The following is an 18858-nucleotide window of genomic DNA, read 5'->3' on the forward strand; positions in this document are numbered from 1 at the left end:
CATTCTTTCTTGTGTTCTTTTAGGTGTTTTGTTAATGTTACCACTGAAGAGGCGTTCTTCACATGAGATGCCCATTAATATGAAACCAGGGCTACATACCCATAGAGAGAGCCACCATTCTTCATTTGTCTCCCCCCTCCATACTTTTATATTATCTGTTATTGCAGATAATTAAAATATAAGTAAAATATAAAATATAAAATAGGTTTGTTACAAATCACAAGGTTTTATGTATAAGTGAGAAATCCCAGGATAAGGCTAAGCACTATAAGACCTTCAAGTGATTTGTGTGCATATTAAGTTGCAGAAACACTGGACTAGAATGTGTAGGTAGAATCTTTTCTCTGGATGAAAGGTCAAGCCCCTTCAATGTGTCTTTAGAATACTTTGTTATTCTTCATCATTCTCTCAGTGATATTATGTTTTGTACTTTGCTGTTCCAGGAAACCATCAATGTAGTCTTTTTTTTCATAGTGGGTCTGCAAAAACATTTTTTTTTTTTTTGCTTATGAAATTACTGAACTGTTATTTGGGTGTACTGCATTTGTTTTCCAACTTAAATTTAAAATGCCTTTTACTCAGTTAGATATTTAGGTAGCGTAATTAACTTTAAAATGTTTATTGTGGTAAAATAGACATAACATAAAATTTACCATTTTAACCATTTTTAAGTGTACATTTTAGCAGCATAATTAACTTTTATATTATATTGATAATCAATGGACAAGGAAAGAGTTCTGCTTCTTTTATGGTTTAGTGGCTGCTGCAGGACTGAACCCTCCCATGGAGGATTGGTCTCAATTGATTGTCTTTTCTCTTAAGAATGGGTCATATTTTAGGTGTTCATATGATAAACTATGGGCAAAATACAAAAGACAAATAAACAAATGACAAAACCACAAAAACCATGATCTGAAAGCACTGAAGAGTAAAAATAAGCAGGAAGATACTGGAGGGGAGCTGCAACTTGGCAAAACAGATCAGCATAGGGTGAGTTACATATTTTTATGACTTTTACCCAGAGGGGAGGCCAAAGTTGGTCCCATGTGGTCTGGCTAAAATTTCTCTAGAAATATGGAACCTTTGTCTTAAAGCTGTGTTCTCTGAGGAACCAGAGAGCAGAGCTTAGGACAACTCCAACTTGTGGAAAGTTGGTGGGGAGTCCAGGAAAAGAGAAGTCAAGAGCAGGGAAATCCCTAATTCTGTATATAAATTCTTCTCAAGTTTCTGACTGACCCCTCAGTCCGTTTTCCATACAATCCAAGCACAGGATGGATTTCATCTGAGACTGAAATAACTTACTTGACATTTTAGTTACCACTTAAGAGTCAGAATGTGCAGCTTGAGTAAAGTTAATTGTCTCATAAAGAAAAAAAACCATTTTTTAGAGGAATGCTAATGGATTTGGAATCCTTACAACACAATATTCACAATGTCTAGGCTACAACCCTAGATTTTGTAACATATGAAGATTCAAAAAAAGTGACCCATTCTTAAGAGAAAAGACAATCAATAGGGACCAATTCTGACATGCCCCAGATGTTGAAATTAGCAGTTAAGGATTTTAGAGCTGCTATTATAATTATGCTCAAGAGAATAGATTAAAATATAGTCACAATGAATGAAAAGATAATAAATATCAGTAGGGAAATAAAAACTGTAAAAGGATCAAAATGAAAATTCTATAACTAAAAAATGCAATATGTTAAATAAAAAATCCATTGGAGGGGCCGAATAGCAGAAAGGAGGTAATAGAAGAAAGAGTCAGTGAATTTGAAGATAGATTAGTAGAATTTATCTAGTCTGAAGAAGAGAAAGAAAAATATATATATTTCAAATGAACAGAGATTTGGGAACTGGTGAGACAATAGCTAAAGATGTAAGGAACATGTAATTGGACTCCCAGAAGCAGAGAAGAGACAATGAATCAGAAAAAAAAGTGAAGAAATAATAGTAGGAAATACCTCAAATTTTGCAATAGGCTAAGATTCAAAAAGCTTAATGAACCCTAACCTGGAGAAATACAAAGAAAATAATTCCTAGGCCTAGTGGAGTCAAACTGCTGAAATCCAAAGACAAAGTGAAAATCTTGAAAGTAGACAGAGAAAACATTACAACATAGTATGACTGTGGACTTTTTATTAGAAACTGGAGGTCACAGAAGGAATAGTATCTTTAAAGTGCTAAAAGAAAAAAGAACCATCATCCCAGAATTCCGTATTCAGTAAAAATATCCTTCAAGAATAAAAGCAAAAAGAAAATTGTTTGGTAGATAAAATAAAACTAAGAGAATTTATTGTCTAAGAGACCTACACTACAAGATATGCTAAAGGAAGTTCTTTAGGTTAAAGAGAGGTAATACGAGATGGAAACTCAGATCTTTAGGAAGAAATGAAGAGTATGGTATGTGTCTGGGCAAATATAAAGTACTATTTAAAAACAAATTCTTGGCTGGGCGTGGTGGCTCATGCCTGTAATCCCAGAACTTTGGGAGGCCGAGGTGGGCAGATCACCTGAGGTCAGGAGTTTGAGACCAGCCTGGCCACCATGGTGAAACCCTGCTTCTATTAAAACATACAAAAATTAGCCAGGCATGGTGGTGTGCACCTGTAATCCCAGATACTCGGGAGGCTGAGGCATGAGAATCACTTGAACCCAGGAGGCAGAGGTTGCAGTGAGCCAAGATCATGCCTCTACACTCCAGCTTGGGTGACAGAAAAAGACTGTCTCAAAGAAAAAAAAAATTCTTGGAAGTCCTAGCCAGAGCAATCAGTCAAGAGAAAGATATAGAAGACATTCAAATAGCAAAAGAAAAAGTCAAACTATCTCTCTTTGTTAATGATATGATTCTATACTTAGAAAACCTAAGGACTCTTCCAGAAGGCTTCTGGAACTGATAAACAACTTCAGTAAAGTTTCAGGATACAAAGATCAGTAGCATTTCTATGCACCAATAATGTTCAAGCTGAGAGCCAAATCAAGAACACAATCCCATTTACAGTAACTGCAAAAAACAAACAATAAAAAAAGCCCAAATCTAGGAATACATCTAACCAAGGAGGTGAAAGATCTCTACAAGGACAACTACAAAATACTGACTGAAAGAAATAATAGATGACAAAAACAAATGAAAAGACATTCCATGCTCATGGATTGGAAGAATTAGTAACATTACAGTGGCCATACTGCCCAAAGCAATCTACAGATTCAACGCTATTTCTATCTATGTCATTTTTGACAAAACTATAAAAAACTATTCTAAAATTCAGAAGAAACCAAAAAAAGAGCCCAAATAGCCAAAGCAGCCCTAGGCAAAAAGAACAAAGCCAGAGGCATAACATTACCTGACTTCAAACTATACAGAATACAGAACTCAAAAATAAAGCCACACACCTACAGCCATCTGATCTTCAACAAAGTTAACAAAAATAAGCAATGAGGAAAGGACTTTTTTTCTTTTTTCTTTCTTTTCTTTTTTTTTTTTTTTTTTAGACAGAGTCTTGCTCTGTCACCCAGGCTGGAGTGCAGTGGCACGATCTGGGCTTATTGCACTGCCTCCCGGGTTCCAGTAATTCTCCTGCCTCAGCCTCCCAAGTAGCTGGGACTACAGGTGTGTGCCATCATGCCTGGCTAATTTTTCATTATTAGTAGAAACAGAGTTTCACCATGTTGGCCAGGCTGGTCTCAAACTCCTGACCTCAGGTGACCCACCCGCTTCAGCCTCCCGAAGTGCTGGGATTACAGGTGTCAGCCACCGTGCCTGGCAAGGAAAGGTCTTTCTATTCAATAAATGGTGCTAAGATAGTTGTCTCTCCATGTGCAGAAAAATGAAACTGGACCCCTACCTTTCACCATATATTATACAATAATTAACTCAAGACGGACTAAAGATTTAAATGTAAGACCTCAAACTATAAGAATCCTAGAAGAAAACCTAGGAAACACCATTCTGGACATTGGCCTTCGGAAATAATTTATGGCTAAGTTCTCAAAAGCAATTTCAACAAAACAAAAAATTGACAAATGGGACCTAATTAAACTAAAGAGCTTCTATACTACAAAAAAAAAAAAAACTATCAGCAGAGTAAACAGACAGCCTACAGAGTGGGAGAAAATATTTGCAAACTGTGCACCTAACAAAGGTCTAATATTCGGAATATATGAGGAACTTAAATAGTTCAGCAAGCAAAAAACAAATAACTCCATTAAAAAATGGGCAAAAGACATGAACAGACACTTTGCAGAAGAAGACATACAAGTGGCCAACAAACGTATGAAAAAATGCTCCATATCACTAATCATCATAGAAATGCATGTCAAAACCACAATGAGATATCATCTCACACCAGCTAGAATGGCTATTATTAAAAAGTCAAAAAACAACAAATGCTGCTCAGGTTGCAGAGAAAAGAGAACACTTACTTATACATTGCTGGTGGGGATGTAAATTATTTTAGCCACTATGGAAAGCAGTTTGGAGATTTCTCAAAGAAAACAAAACTACCATTCAACCCAGTAATCCTATTAATTGGCATATATCCAAAAGAAATAAATTATTTCATCAAAAGGTCACATGCACTCATATGTTCATTGGAGCATTATTTACAATAACAAAGACATGGAATCAACCTTGGTGCCTATCAGTGGTGGATTGGATAAAGAAAATGTGGTATATATACATGATGGAATATTACACAGACATAAAAAAGAATGAAATCATACCCTTTGCAGCAGCATGGATGCAGCTGGAGGTCATTATCCTAAGCAAATTAATGCAAAACCGGAAAACCAAACGCCACACGTTCTCACTTTCAAGTGGGAGTTAAACATTGGGTACTCATGGACATAAAGGTGGAAACAATAGACACTGGGGACTACTAGAGGGGAGAGCGAAGAAGGGCGACAAGGGTCGAAAAACTAACTATTGGGTACTATGCTCAGTACCTGGGTGGCAGGATCAATCATACACCAAAGCTGAGCGCCATGCAATATATCCAGCTAACAAATCTGTACATGTACCCCCTGAATCTAAAATTAGAGTTGAATTTTTTTTTTGGAAAAAGAATTTTAGGAAACTACCTACCTTCCCAACCCCTCTTTATTTCCAAATCTCTGCCCTTTTATGGTAATACAATGATCTGTAATTATTTTCCTTTACTCAATCCCATTTGTAAATGTTTTAGAGGAGAGAATAAATAATGGAAAAGGAAAATAAAAGAATATTTTGTAAATAATACTTCAATATAGCTGGAAAAAATTAGAGTATGTAGGGCCGCTTACAACAAAATTTATGACATTGTCTCATGGTATTTATAAAATGCATGTAAATATAATACATATGCAACAATAGCATAAAAAATAATACAATATTAACTCTAATTTGACTGTGAGACGTGAAGGATATATATTGTAGTCCCTAAAACAACTGCTGACAAAATAATGCAAAGAGGTACAGCTAAAAGGCCAATAGATACTTCTAAAGGTAATTTTAAAAACATTCAAATAATCCAAAAAATAGATAAATGAAGGAACAGGGGATGAAGTGCATGCATGTGCGCAAGCACACACACACACAAAACCACATACACACACACCAGACACAAAAGGAAGGGGCAAGCAGAAAATAGATACAAATAGTGGTAGACCCAAATCCAGCTCTATAAAAAATACTCTAAATGTTAATGGACTAAACACTCCAATTCAAAGGCAGAAGCAATAAGAATGAATAAAAAAGCAAGACTCAACTATATTGTTCACAAGTACTTACCTTTAAATATAAGGACAAGTTGAAAGTAAATGAATGGGAAAAAATATACTATGTAAACAATAAACATTAGAAGGATAGAGTAAAAATATCAGGCAAAGTAAACTTTAAGACAAAGAGCATTAACACAAATAAAGACATTTCGTAATGCTAAGAGTAAATTCATCAGGGAGACAGTAATCATAAGTGTGTTTGCATCTAACAATAGAGCTTTAAAATACATGAAGCAAAATTTGACAGAATTAGAGGGAAAAATAGACAATTCTATGATCATAGTTGGAGATTTAAATACCATCCTATTGGCAATTTATAAAACTAGACAAAAACATCAACAATAACCATGAAAAATTGACAATTTAGATTTTATCAAAATTAAAAACTTCTGCTCAAAACAAAACATGCTATTAAGAAAATGAATAGGCAAGTTACAGACAGAAAATATTCACAAAACATAAACCTGACAAATGGTTGGTATCTGGGATATACAAAGAACTTCCACAGCTCAGTTATAAAAAAAAAAACCTCAAAAAAATTCAAAAGATTTGAATAGCTACTTGACAAAAGTAGATATATAAATGGCCAATAAATGTACATCAAAGAGCTTAACAAGGCCGGGTGCTGTGGCTCACGCCTGTAATCCCAGCACTTTGGGAGGCTGAGGCGGGCGGATCACGAGGTCAGGAGATTGAGACCATCCTGGCTAATACGGTGAAACCCTGACTCTACTAAAAATACCAAAAATTAGCCGGGCATGGTGGCGGGCGCCTGTAGTCCCAGCTACTCGGGAGGCTGAGGCAGGAGAATGGCGTGAACCCGGGAGGCAGAGGTTGCAGTGAGTCGAGATCGCGCCACTGCACTCCAGCCTGGGCGACAGAGCGAGACTCTGTCTCAAAAACAAAACAAAACAAAACAAAAAAAAGAGCTTAACATTATTAGTCATCAGAGAAATGCAAATTAAGATTACAATGACATACTACTACATACTCCCCAGGATTGCTATTTTTTCCTCAGCTTTAAAGGATGACTATTATTAAAAAGGCTGACAACATCAAATTTTGGTGAGAATGTGGAATAACCACACCTATTCATCATTGTTGATAACAATGCAGAATGGTACAACTACTTTGGGAAAACGGCCATTTAAAAAAAATAAAGCTAAACATACACCTATCCCATGACTCACAATTTCCACTCATAGGCATTTATTCATAAGAAATGGAAATGTTTGTTTTCAAAAAGTTTATAGTAGCTTTATGCAAATACCCCCAACTAGAAATAGCCCAGGTGACCAACAATAGTAGAATGGATGAAGAAACTCAGGCATAACTATAGAATGGGACTCTGTGGAGCAACAGAGAGGAAGAAACTACTGATGGATGCAGCGACATGCAAGAATCTTAAAAACATTATGCTCAGTGAATGACGACTGAAAAAACACACACCCAAAAGTATCAGGGCCATTTAAATGAAATTCTGAAACAGGTAAAAGTAGTCCATAGTGGAGAAAGTCAGAAATGTGGTTGACTTTGAAGAGTTGATGATGGAGATTGACTGTGAAGGGGAAAGAGGAACTTTGGGGTAATGATATTGCTCTATATCTAGATAAGGAATTGGATTTCACAGATGTATGCATTTGTCTTGACTCAGTGGATGTACAATTAATAGTTTTGCACTTATAAGTTTTTTGCACTTGTAAATTTTATAACAGAAGAAAAAAACTGTAAACAAATACTGAATTCCAGCTAGTTAAATGCATGGTGAAGTATTTAGGGGAAAGTGACTGATAGCTGCAATTTATTTTGAAATGCGTAAGAGATAAGATGAATTAGTGGATGGATAGAGGAATGGATGGATGGATAATTATGTGATAAAGCAAATATGGTAAAATATTAATGGTAAATTGTAGGTGGGGGAGTGTAAAGGTGTTCACTGTAAAGTTGGGAATTTTTCAAGATAAAATGTTGAAAGAAAAGAGTAATGAAAGAAGAAAGCCAGGAGCACAACATTTTTGGATTGACTCCTTCTTGATTTCTTTTCCCTTAAATATTGATGCTCTTAACTAAGATTGAAGATTATCCCCATTGTTTGAGATGATGCATGAAGATACTTTATCTCCATGAACTAAAACAAAGTCTTTCACCTCTTCCACAGAGATGTGACTTCTGATCGAAGTCTTTTTTTTTTTTTTTGAGACGGAGTCTTGCTCTGTCACCCTGGCTGGAGTGCAGTGGTGTGATTTCGGCTCACTGCAACCTCTGCCTCCTGGGTTCAAGCAATTCTCCTGCCTCAGCCTGCTGAGTAGCTGGAATTACAGGTGTGTGCCACCATGCCCGGCTAATTTTTATATTTTTAGCAGAGACGGGGTTTCACCATATTGGTCAGGCTGGTCTTGAACTCCTGACCTTGTGACCCACCCACTTTGGCCTCCCAGACTGCTGGGATTACAGGCGTGAGCCACTGCACCTGGGCTGATCTAAGTCTTAAACTCACTCCCTAGTTGTGTCGTTGTTATGTTGGTTTCACTATTTCCAGTCTAGTTAACCTGATGTCCTCTGTCTATGGTAAGAAACAGTGGCAAACAACAGATTTGAGGGTTAATTGACATCGGATGGGAAGGTGGGCCACAGCTGTTTCTGATTTACCCACCATGTTTATGCATGTAAATTTCAAGTCACAGAAGTGGCCAATGTGGTTTTAGACCTCAACATTAAAGTGAATTCAGATTTTAGCCTATGGGAAAATGAGCGGTAATAAAGAAAAGTCTGTAGTTAATAAAATTATCTAAAACAGGAGAGGATACAGAATGGGTCTTTGTTCTCCCTCTGTGTTTCTGTGCAGACTTTTGTGTGGGTCAAATTGTGTTTTTGTTCTTGTTAACTTCTTATTGCCTTTCTTTTCATTAGTGAAAGAACATTGTCCTCCTAATTATTCCCAAGTTAGAGCAAAAGAGGCAGAAATGAGCTAGATCCATAGTTTTGGAAACTGATGATGCATGTTGGGTAATTTAATTATGTGGCAATTACAAGGATTAACCATGAACTGGAAAGAGCTGCCTAGTATTGTACTTTAAAATGAGCTCCGTGTATGAGACTCATGCCTCCATTTTCCATTCATGAAACAGAGGTATTCAGAAAAGGGTTTTATGACTAAAGCACAGATAAAATTAGAACGAAGAGAGACAAGGATCTGTATATGTTATTCCTTCCAAAATTGGAGAAGGTGTAAATGCACACATGACCCTTGGGTTAAACTGTGCGATTCATTATCCATTCGTCAGTTCTTCTGAATGAGGCTACGAGAACAGTCCTCTTCAGTGTTTTCTCACTCACATGTCAGGTGCTTCATTAAAGCAAATTCTTCGATCAAGGATAAAGCCTGGGCTTGTCCAGTTGATGGAATGTTTCCTTTCCTCTCCCAATAAGAAAAAAATTCCAGAGCCAAGATTAAGCCAATCCTATGGTAAATTTTGGTCAAGGTCAAGATTAATGCTTTTTTAAATTATTATTTCAGTGACTTCAAAATTACAATTGTATATGACAGAATTATTCCTCTGGGTGAGTAGCACAAAATAAGGAGAATCGTCTTCCCCAGAACCCTTCCTTTAAGTTTCTTTTGTTTCTTTCTAGCACAACACAGCTGGAGTAAACTGTGAACAGTGTGCTAAGGGCTATTACCGCCCTTATGGGGTTCCAGTGGATGCCCCTGATGGCTGCATCCGTAAGTTTCATTTCAAGTTGGTGTATCTTAGCCTGTGTGTACTGCCTCAGCGAAGTCATCAGGCTAACTTTGGATCAGTTAATAACTTCCTTCATGCCCTCTCTCTTCAGAGTATTAGTTGTGCTCGCTATGTGACCTCAGTCACTTACACAGTCTCTTTGAATTTTGGATTTATTGCATGTAAATGGAAATGATAATGTATTTCATAAGATTAAATAAAATGCAATCAAAAGCATGTAGGAAAATACTTACCATTGGGCCTGTCACATATTAGGCCTGTGATAAATGTTAGTTTCTCCATTTTCTGTTGTTTTGACATGTTTCTATGATCTCTAATAATTTCAATTTTTGGGCTGGAGGCAGTGGCTCAGGCCTGTAATCCCAGGACTTTGGGAGGCTGAGGCAGGTGGATCACTTGAGGCCAAGAGGTCAAGACAAGCCTGGTCAACATGGTGAAAAACCCTGTCTCTACTAAATAGAAAAAAATTAGCCAGGTGTGGTGGTGCTCACCCGTAATCCTAGTTACTCTGGAGGTGGAGGCATGAGAATTGCTTGAACCCAGGAGGCGGAGGTTGCAGTGAGCCAAGATCACGCCACTGCACTCCAGCCTGGATGACAGAGTGAGACTCTGTCTCAGAAGCAACAACAACAACTTGAATTAGAACAAGACAACACAGTAATGAGTTCATAAGGATTTAATAATAGTCACATTGTTTAAAATAGCTAATATTTGTTGAGTACTTGCCATATATGAGGCATTACCTAAATACTTTCACAAAGGTCTTGTTTAATTATTACAACAAATAGGACATTGTATTATTGTCCTCATTTTTAGATACGGAGAAACCAAACAGTCTGAGTAGTTATATATAATTTAGGCTAGGTGACAAAACCGCTAACTGCTAGATCCAGGATATAGTTCTTTTCTGTCTGACATGACTGTGCCATAACTCTTCTATTATACAGAAGAATGCCTCTAGTTTTTCCTTGTAGAATTATGAATCTTGGGTCAGATTTACAGACTTTTCCCTACATGTGCAACCTATACCCTATTCAATGCTTGGTTCTTTTAAGTTGTCTGGTTGTCACAGTTGGAAAGCAATTCCAGTCCTGAAGTCAATCCTGTGCCCACTCCATGATTAATCATACCATTAACATTTGTGGGTATTAAAGTCCAGGGAATATGTAGATGGATTTACTTCTCTCTAGGGCATTCTTAGTTGTTAAAAAAAATGTGTTTTCACTTTTCTTCCTTCTTCCACATCATGCTGCAAAGTATGTCTATCACCTGTCTTGTGCCTACAAAGAATAGGCATTGGGAAAGGAAAACAGGACATTGCCAATGTAATTGTACCTCATTAGGAGCCTCACTGTTTCATCACCTTTCTAGTTTTTTCATCATTGAAGTGGTCCACAGAGGTATTAGAGGCTTGGCGTAAAGGATCAGTAGGACACATGAATCCTAACTAAATTAAGCAAAGGACACCAGGATGCCAGGTCACCCAGGTCTTTACAGGAGATGTATTCAGATGAGCTGTGACAGTATTTTCCCTGTCCAGGGTGCACCTGCCAGGTCAAGGGAGGCCCCCAAGTGGGAGGTCGACAATCTTCTTATACTTGCACTATGCCTTACTCCAGTGCAAGCCTGATAATCGTGCCCGATAATCGTTTTTGGTTGCAAAAGCTGCCTTCAGTAAGCCATTTCACTCAGATTAACATTTTTTTTATGGGTCTTGGTCTGCTGTCCACAGACTCTATCTCCATGTCTAGGCACTCCACACTTGCATCTGTATCATAACTGTGTATTGATGACCACTTTGTGGGCATTCACAGTTGGTTCATAGCTAGAAAGGGCTGTGCCCAACAGAACTAAGGCAAATACCCCCACCCCCACCCCCAACCCCTCTGACTGTAGCATGCAGGCTTTGCCTCTGACTCAGTGAGCTGGGCAATGCTCAGTGGGATAAATGACATCCATGAGAACTTCTGTGTGGACGCTCATTACAGCTGATCTCTGACAGCTCACGAGCTTCGGGCAGTGAGAACCATCAATCAGGTGTGAGGTGGGAAATAGGCTGTGCCCTTTCAAGAATACCTATAGACCAAGGATCAAGTATGGAACGTTGCCTGGGAAGTGTTGGAACATATTTGCTTTGTTAAGTGCAGTGAAGGACGGATCCTTTGAAAACTGGGATTTCTCTTAGCCTGCAGCTGTGACCCTGAGCATGCGGATGGCTGTGAACAGGGTTCAGGCCGCTGTCACTGCAAGCCAAATTTCCACGGAGACAACTGTGAGAAGTGTGCAATTGGATACTACAATTTCCCATTTTGCTTGAGTAAGTACCCACTGCAGAACAAGAGGCCACCCTTTTTGGTCCATAGCTGGCTTTTGTGCACTAACCTCTGAGGCATGGTGGACAGGTAGGGAAGGAGAGACAGAAATGGGGCCAGGTGGGTTGTATTTATGTAAAAGTGTTTCTGAAAGTTTGGAATATAAATTTTATATTGGTACATTTTACAGTCTTATTTATCTCCAAAGTGTTATGTTGTGCCACAGAAATTGCCATCTCAGTAGGTCAAAAAGTCAAACATTGGCAATTTTAACTTAATAATCCATGTGTGTGATTTTTCCTCCTAAATGTAGGAGAAATATCATGGGCTTCCAGATATTTATCTGCATGCATATAGTGTGTGTTGTGTTTCAGGAGCCCAGGGAAACGTTTCCTCTCTCCTGCTGTACAAGAGGCCAAGTTATAAGCACCCAGACTCCACCCCACGGCAGTGATCTAAGTGAACATCTCAGCATCACCAAGAGAAAAAAATACATATCTGTCAGAAACACTGTAGAGCATGAAACAGGAGAATCTGTGAAACCAGCTATGCGAACTGTGATGAGTGTTGGCTCTGTTTGTTGTGCAGCAGTGAGAAAACTGCACTTTGGGGTTAGGACAAAGAAACACTGTCACAAGGAGAGCCTGTCTCTCTGTATCACTCTATCAGATGTTTCCTGGCCCCACCCTCCTGACTCCTGCAGAGCCATCATAGGAAAAGCATATTGAGTTGTGGGGACATGGGGGCAGGACTCACATGAATGGGTAACTATATGTTCTCATTCACACCTCCCACCCCAGGTAATTGCTTAAATTGCACCCACTTTCTCTGTGGAGACTGTCCTACTTTGGTTGATGAGACACCACATCAGAATTTTATATCTGTGAGTCTTGGTAGAAGGCTGAACAGAAATTGTATTTGCCTTTTTTTTTTTTTTTTGAGACAGAATTTCGCTCTTGTTGCCCAGGCTGGAGTGCAATGGTGCGATCTTGGCTCACTGCAACCTCTGCCTGCCAGGTTCAAGCGATTCTCCTGCCTCAGCCTCCTGAGTAGTTGGGATTACAGGCATGTGCCACCACGCCTGGCTAATTTTGTATTTTTAGTAGAGATGGGGTTTCTCTATGTTGGTCAGGCTGGTCTTGAGCTCCTGACCTCAGATTATCTGCCTGCCTCAGCTTCACAAAGTGCTGGGATTACAGGCATGAGCCACTGCGCTCGGCCTGCCTTTTTAGTGAAAAGAAGAGGAAGAAACCTGAAGTAGTTTTATGGCATAAACAAAATGTCAGGAGAAAAAAATGAAAGAAAATATTTCTTTAAAGCTTTGATTTTATGTTAAAAAAAAAAACAATAAAAAAGCTAAGGAAGCCAAACTCATCCCTGCTCAGGCTGAGACTTAGCTATTGTGAGCACGAAACATTCATTTCTGTTCATCGTTATACAAATGGGAATGTCTGGCCAGTCTGGTTTCAGTTACTAAACACATTTGAGATATAGCAATATCGCCTTTCTTTAAATTAGTCTCTATATGCTACTTTTCACTAAGTGACAGAGGGTGTCTTCCTAGTTAGTACAACTTAATGTTTTACTTTACTATCTCCTTAATCATCCTCTGTATTTTTTAATAAACTATTTTTACAGGAATTCCCATTTTTCCTGTTTCTACACCAAGTTCAGAAGATCCAGTAGCTGGAGATATAAAAGGCAAGTAACCTCCCTTTTGGTTTAACTCCAGTGAAAATGTTATGCCCTTATTCTTTTCCTACTTCCTGTGTGCACTGCCACATCCAAGGCCAAGTCTCCCTTCCTAGAGCATGGTAGGTGCCTTGCAGGTGTCTCCTAGTTGACCTACTCCCCACCCATCAGTCCCCACTCCAGCCTGTCTTTTACAAGGGCACTACCTGACGTAGGAAACTGTGCAGAGCTTGTATTAGATATCACCAGCTTGCTCAAAGACCTTCAATGGCAGCCAGTGGTCTGTTGTCTTTTTTGAGTTCCCCGAAAACAGACCCTGAAAAAGGAATGGAGAGCAAGTCATTTATTTGGGAGGTGATCCCAGGAAGGGAGAGAGTCAGGGAGTGAAGGGAACCATGATAAAGGTGCAATGGCAGGTAATGGCAGTTATCTGCCATTAGTGGAGGCATTAATGCTTCTGGGGCATTCACCCTCTGGCACTTACAGCTTGGCCTTCAGGAAGGCTGAGGAGCTTCTGCAGTCCCAAAACAAGCCCCTGGCAGAGAGTAGCAGTGGTGTGCAGTAAGCTGTCTCTGAGGGTGAAGGGGTGAGTACTAGAGGATGTGGGTGTTACATTTACCAAATCATTTGTTCCATAAATATTTTAAAATTCCCTGTTATGTGCAAAGTACCATTCTGGCTGCTGGGGACTTAGCAGAGAACAGAACAGAAAAAATTCCCAGCTTTCTTGGAGCTTATATTCCTGTGGAGAAACCCAGATAATAACATACATAATATAGAAACCCAAGCAAGGAAAATAGCTAATTCATTAGACTGTGAGAGGCAGAGTTGTATTCTGAACATGGGTGCCACTTTTAAGGGGGAGCCATTCACATCATAGGCATAAACTAACTCATGTGAGAAGATTCCAGGCCTCTGCGCTGGGTTCCAGAGCCATGGGGAGTTTCTTACATAAACCCATCACGGCATCCACAGGGAGGCACAGGTTCTCAGAAGGGCACGCCTGCACCAAAGGAAGGGCACAGCACACGCACACAGCCCACGACTGGGCACCATCGGACTCATGCTCACATCTCCTGAGTTTGCCTCTCCTACCCCAGGGCGCCAGCAGAGGCCTGGTGGTCACTGGGGAGGAGGTAGTGCCAGTCATGTGTGAGCACGAGTGCCCCTCCTCCTGCAGCGCCACGGTGTGGGCCAGCAGAGAAGATGGTTTCTGAAGAGCTCTCCTTGGCAGTGAAGTTCAGGCTCTACAGCAACATAGTAACTCAGGTATGGACTGGAGGCAGCCTTGGTGATAAGCGCTGCTGAAAAAACAAGACAGAGAGGAGGTTAGGGAATGTGAGGTTTACAGATTTAAATTAGAGCAGTCAGAGAAGGCCTCACTGAAGCAGGTATAGGAAAGAGCAAGTGCAAAGTCCCTGGGGCAGGGGCAGCCCTGGGCCAAGGGTGTTCAGTGAACAAAAAGAGACCAGGTGTGTGAAAGTGGAGTGAGGGAAGGTGAGACTGGTAGGAAGGGAAGGCATCAGGGGCTGGATGGAGGCCCTCGTCAGCCACTAGAGAGGCCTTCTCTTTTACTCAAAATGAGACAGGAGCCATGGAGAGTTTTGCACAGAGAAATGATGTTATATAGAAGGCTCTTTGGGTCTACTGTATTGAAAGAAAATCTCAGGAGAAGAGAAGAGAAGAGAAGAAGCAAGGGGGCCTGATGGGAAGTTTTTCCATAATCCATGAGGAAGAGATGATGGTGGTTCAGACCCAGGTGGTGTCAGCGGAGGTGACAGCAGTGGACAGACTGTGGATATCATCGGAAGGTAGAACCAACAGGATTTGCTGAGGGATTGCTAGACCGGAAGTAGAATATTAGAGAAAGAGAGGGCTCTGGGGTGACTCCAAGGCTTTTCGGCTGAGCAGTTAGAAGGAAGAAGTTGCTCTTTGTTGAGAGGGAAAGATTAAAACAAGAGAAAGCAGAATACATGGGCCAGAGGCGGGGTGGGTGGGGGCAGTGGTGGGAGCTCGTGGATGTTCTCTTCTGGCTGTTTTTGAAAGTTTTCTCTGTGGAATAACAAACAAGGTCAGAGCAAGAAGCAAGAGAGGAGGGCTCGGGGTTGAGTAGGGAGAAGGTATGAGAGTCATCCAGGAATGTGGGTGGGAGGATGGGCTTGGGAAAGTCATGGGATTGCTGGGTGGCACCAAAGGCCCCCTGGAGGTCAGTTATAACAGGACCTCAGTTACCTTCCTGACGTCATTCCCTGCTTCTGCCCTACCCACACTCCTCCTCAGTCTAACCATGGTGCTGTGCATTATTGCACTGTGTGTGGGACTGTCTCATGTCAGATACTGGGCCACTTGAGGACAGCAGCTCTACAGGATGGGGCAGTCACGTTGGCTTAGAGACCTGCCCGCTAAGACTCAGAGAGGGCCAGGCACATTCTGATAGCTCAGTTTGGAGGCTCTGCATAGATGCCAGTAACGGAGAATTTAAGGAATGGTGACTACTGAGGAGAATTGCAGTCTTGAATACTTAGCATATTCTTCATTCATTAAACTTTTATTAAGTGCCTGTGCTGTGCTAGTCACTGCCAGGCAGCTGCCTGATACATGGTTCCTCCTGCCTGGGAGCTCCCAGTCTGAGACAGAAAGGTCAACAGTTCTAATGGCAGGAGTTAAGTGCCATGAGAGCATATGGGAGGGGCAGCCTTACAGCCAGGGTGAAGGAAAGAAGGAAGGAAGAAGGAAGGGAGGGAGGGAGGGGAGAAAGGAGAGAGACAGAAGTGCTGGAAGGGCTTCCCCAGAGCAGCAGGAGGAGGTATCTGAGCTGAGTCTTGGAGTGTGAAGAGGAGTCAGCCAGGCAGAGGGGCAGGGAAGAGAAGCCGTGGGGCTAGGAGAGAGGGGATGGCAGACAGGTCATTAAGGCTGAAGCATGGGATAGAGAGAGGAAGTTCAAGGAGAGGACCTAGAGGAATAAGAAAAGACCTGAGCGGGCAGCCAGCTCAGATGTGTAGGTTTGCAAGGCACAGCTGTGCCTCATCTAAGGGGCATCACAATCATGGAAGACATTGCAGATTTGCATATTGATGATGATGATTTTATAGCAGGTGACAGGAAAGCATCTTGAGGAAGGGGCACCTTTTTCTAATTTGCACAAAGATGCCCCATGGGTTGCTGATAGCTTGGAAAATGTTGAAGGATCTATTCTGTCACATGTGAAGGACTTCGTATTCTGTCCTGCAGGCATTGGGTCACTGTCAAGGGATTTAAAACTGGGAAGTGATATGAAAAGGTTGATATTTTTGAAATATCACTCTTGACACCAGCATGGAGAATGAATTAGAAGGAGCAAGATAGGAAGCAGAGAGCCTCCTTAGGAAGTTCTCAAAATAATCCAGGTAAACAAAGATGAGGTCTGGAACTCTGGCAGTAGAGACGGACTCAAGGGATTTTCTTGAGATATAATCACTGTGACTTCGTAATGAGGTGTGGGATGTTCTTTCTTTTTCTATTTTAATCAGAATTCTTTGAGCCTCAATGCCAAGGTAAAGTCCAAGTTTTTCACTGAATCTCAATACTTCGTTTAACGCCAAGACTGTAATTCACGGTAAAAACGTTCCCTTTCCCTGTGACATTCGTTCTCAGCCTACAGGGCTGTGGCATTAGGACCTTGTATGGCAGCTGTGATGGACGGACAGGGTGGTGCTCATGCCATCCTGGGTTCCAAGGCTTCCCTTGTCATGAATGTGTCCTTGCCACTTCTGAAAAGGAGGAAAAACTTTCTTCTACCCTCTTAGGTACCATGGCTGGGCCTAGAATTAAATGAACCTAAGACAGATTAACAGTAAAAAAGCATACAAATGTATGTAATATTTTTACATGTACATGAGAGTCTCTAGAAGGAAAATCAAGACCCAAAAAAGCCATTAGGCCCCAAAGCCTATGTATTGTACATGTTTACACAAAGAACAATGAAGTATGAAGTGTGACAAGACAAAAGAGCTTGGGCTAGTGGCACTACATTGTGGGACCCTGGCTAGGAAGCACTGGGAGAAACTAAGTGTTATTTTAGTGGGTTTGTTGGTGCAGATCCAATCCAGTCGACTCCCAGTCTCCGGTGATAAGAATGCTGTCTTCCTGGTACAAGGAGGGCAGGCACCTTTCTCCTGGGAAATTTTATGACCTGCTTTTAGGTAGAAAGGGTGAGATCAGAGAACCCTTCCTACATCTGCTGCTTCTAAAGTGCCTTTGCTGGAAACAGTCAGTATGCTAAAATGGCATATTCTAAATCCCTTCACTTCCAATGCTGTTTTTGTCAAATTAGGCAACTGTTTGGTTGAAGTATGAACAAGTTAAAAATCATGTAAAGACTATAAAGTTGTTCTGATTTACTGTGATTTTTTTCTTAATTATTGTATTAGAAAAAAATAATTCCACAACTTAGTTACTAACGTTTTATTTGAAAAATTAAGGGTTTAGGGCAAAGGGATTTGGCTACTTTTCATATTAACTACTATTTTAACCCATGTAGAAAATCTTTCCAAAATGCATGAGACTTTCCTTCCTTGGTAGGTAGGGTGGACCCAGCTGAATCTTTGAGTCTTTTACGATCTTCCTTAGGGGACCTGTTGCAAATTTAGATATTAATGTAATTTATAGAATTATGGATGCTTTCAGGGCGAGGCATGGTGGCTCACGCTGTAATCCTGCACTTTGGGAGGCTGAGGCAGGCGGATCACCTGAGGTCGGGAGTTTGAGACCAGCCTGGCCAACATGGTGAAACCTTGTCTCTACTAAAAATACAAAAATTAGTCAGATGTGGCACACGCCTGTAATCCGAGCTACTCGGGAGGCTGAGGCATGATAATCGCTTGAACCCAGGAGGCAGAGGTTATGGTGAGCAGAGATTGAGCCACTGCACTCCAGCCTGGGCGATAGAATGAAACTCTGTCTAAAATAAATAAATAAATAAATAAAAAGAAAAAAGAAATAGATGCTTTAAATATGAGATTGATTTGAATATATATGCTAATCCAGGACACACTCTGAAAGTTGCTTTTAAAATCATTCTCAACTTGTATTTTTAGTATAATAGAAAGACCATGGGCTTTGAAATCTGGCAGTTCTGGGTTCAAATTCTGACTCTGCTTCCCTGGCTGTGTGAACTTGGGGAAGTTAATTAACCTTTCTGAGCATCTTTTTTTTTTTTTTTTCATCTATAAAATACTTACCTGTCTTACAGGGCTCTTGTTTGACTTCATTATTATTTTTGAGCAATATTTATTTCCCAAGGAATAATGTGTGCTGGCCCTGGGGGCCTGTGGTGAGCTCTCATGAAGTGTCCAGTCTGCTGGGTGATTTACTTA

The 18858-nt window shown here is 40.5% G+C and overlaps 1 protein-coding gene across 13 annotated transcripts in view; it reads left to right on the forward strand.

The window, feature by feature from the left end:
* The window catches only part of LAMA3 (laminin subunit alpha 3), a 265614-nt gene that overhangs the window by 74654 nt on the left and 172102 nt on the right, over positions 1-18858 (forward strand). For 9 of the 13 annotated variants that reach the window (NR_130106.2, XM_011525978.3, XM_011525982.3 and 6 more), the window contains exons 9-11: positions 9391-9481; positions 11686-11817; positions 13451-13513. Coding sequence is in view for 12 of the 13 variants with exons in the window: in XM_011525978.3 (XP_011524280.1) it covers positions 9391-9481; positions 11686-11817; positions 13451-13513 (286 nt within the window). In the remaining variant the exon portion in view is untranslated. Of the gene's footprint in view, positions 1-9390; positions 9729-11685; positions 11818-13450; positions 13514-18858 lie in introns of those variants that run through there. The other 4 variants (XM_011525981.3, XM_047437503.1, XM_047437504.1 and 1 more) reach the window with 2 other exon arrangements.

This window comes from Homo sapiens, chromosome 18, assembly GCF_000001405.40.
Source record: "Homo sapiens chromosome 18, GRCh38.p14 Primary Assembly".
Taxonomy (NCBI): Eukaryota; Metazoa; Chordata; class Mammalia; order Primates; family Hominidae; genus Homo; species Homo sapiens.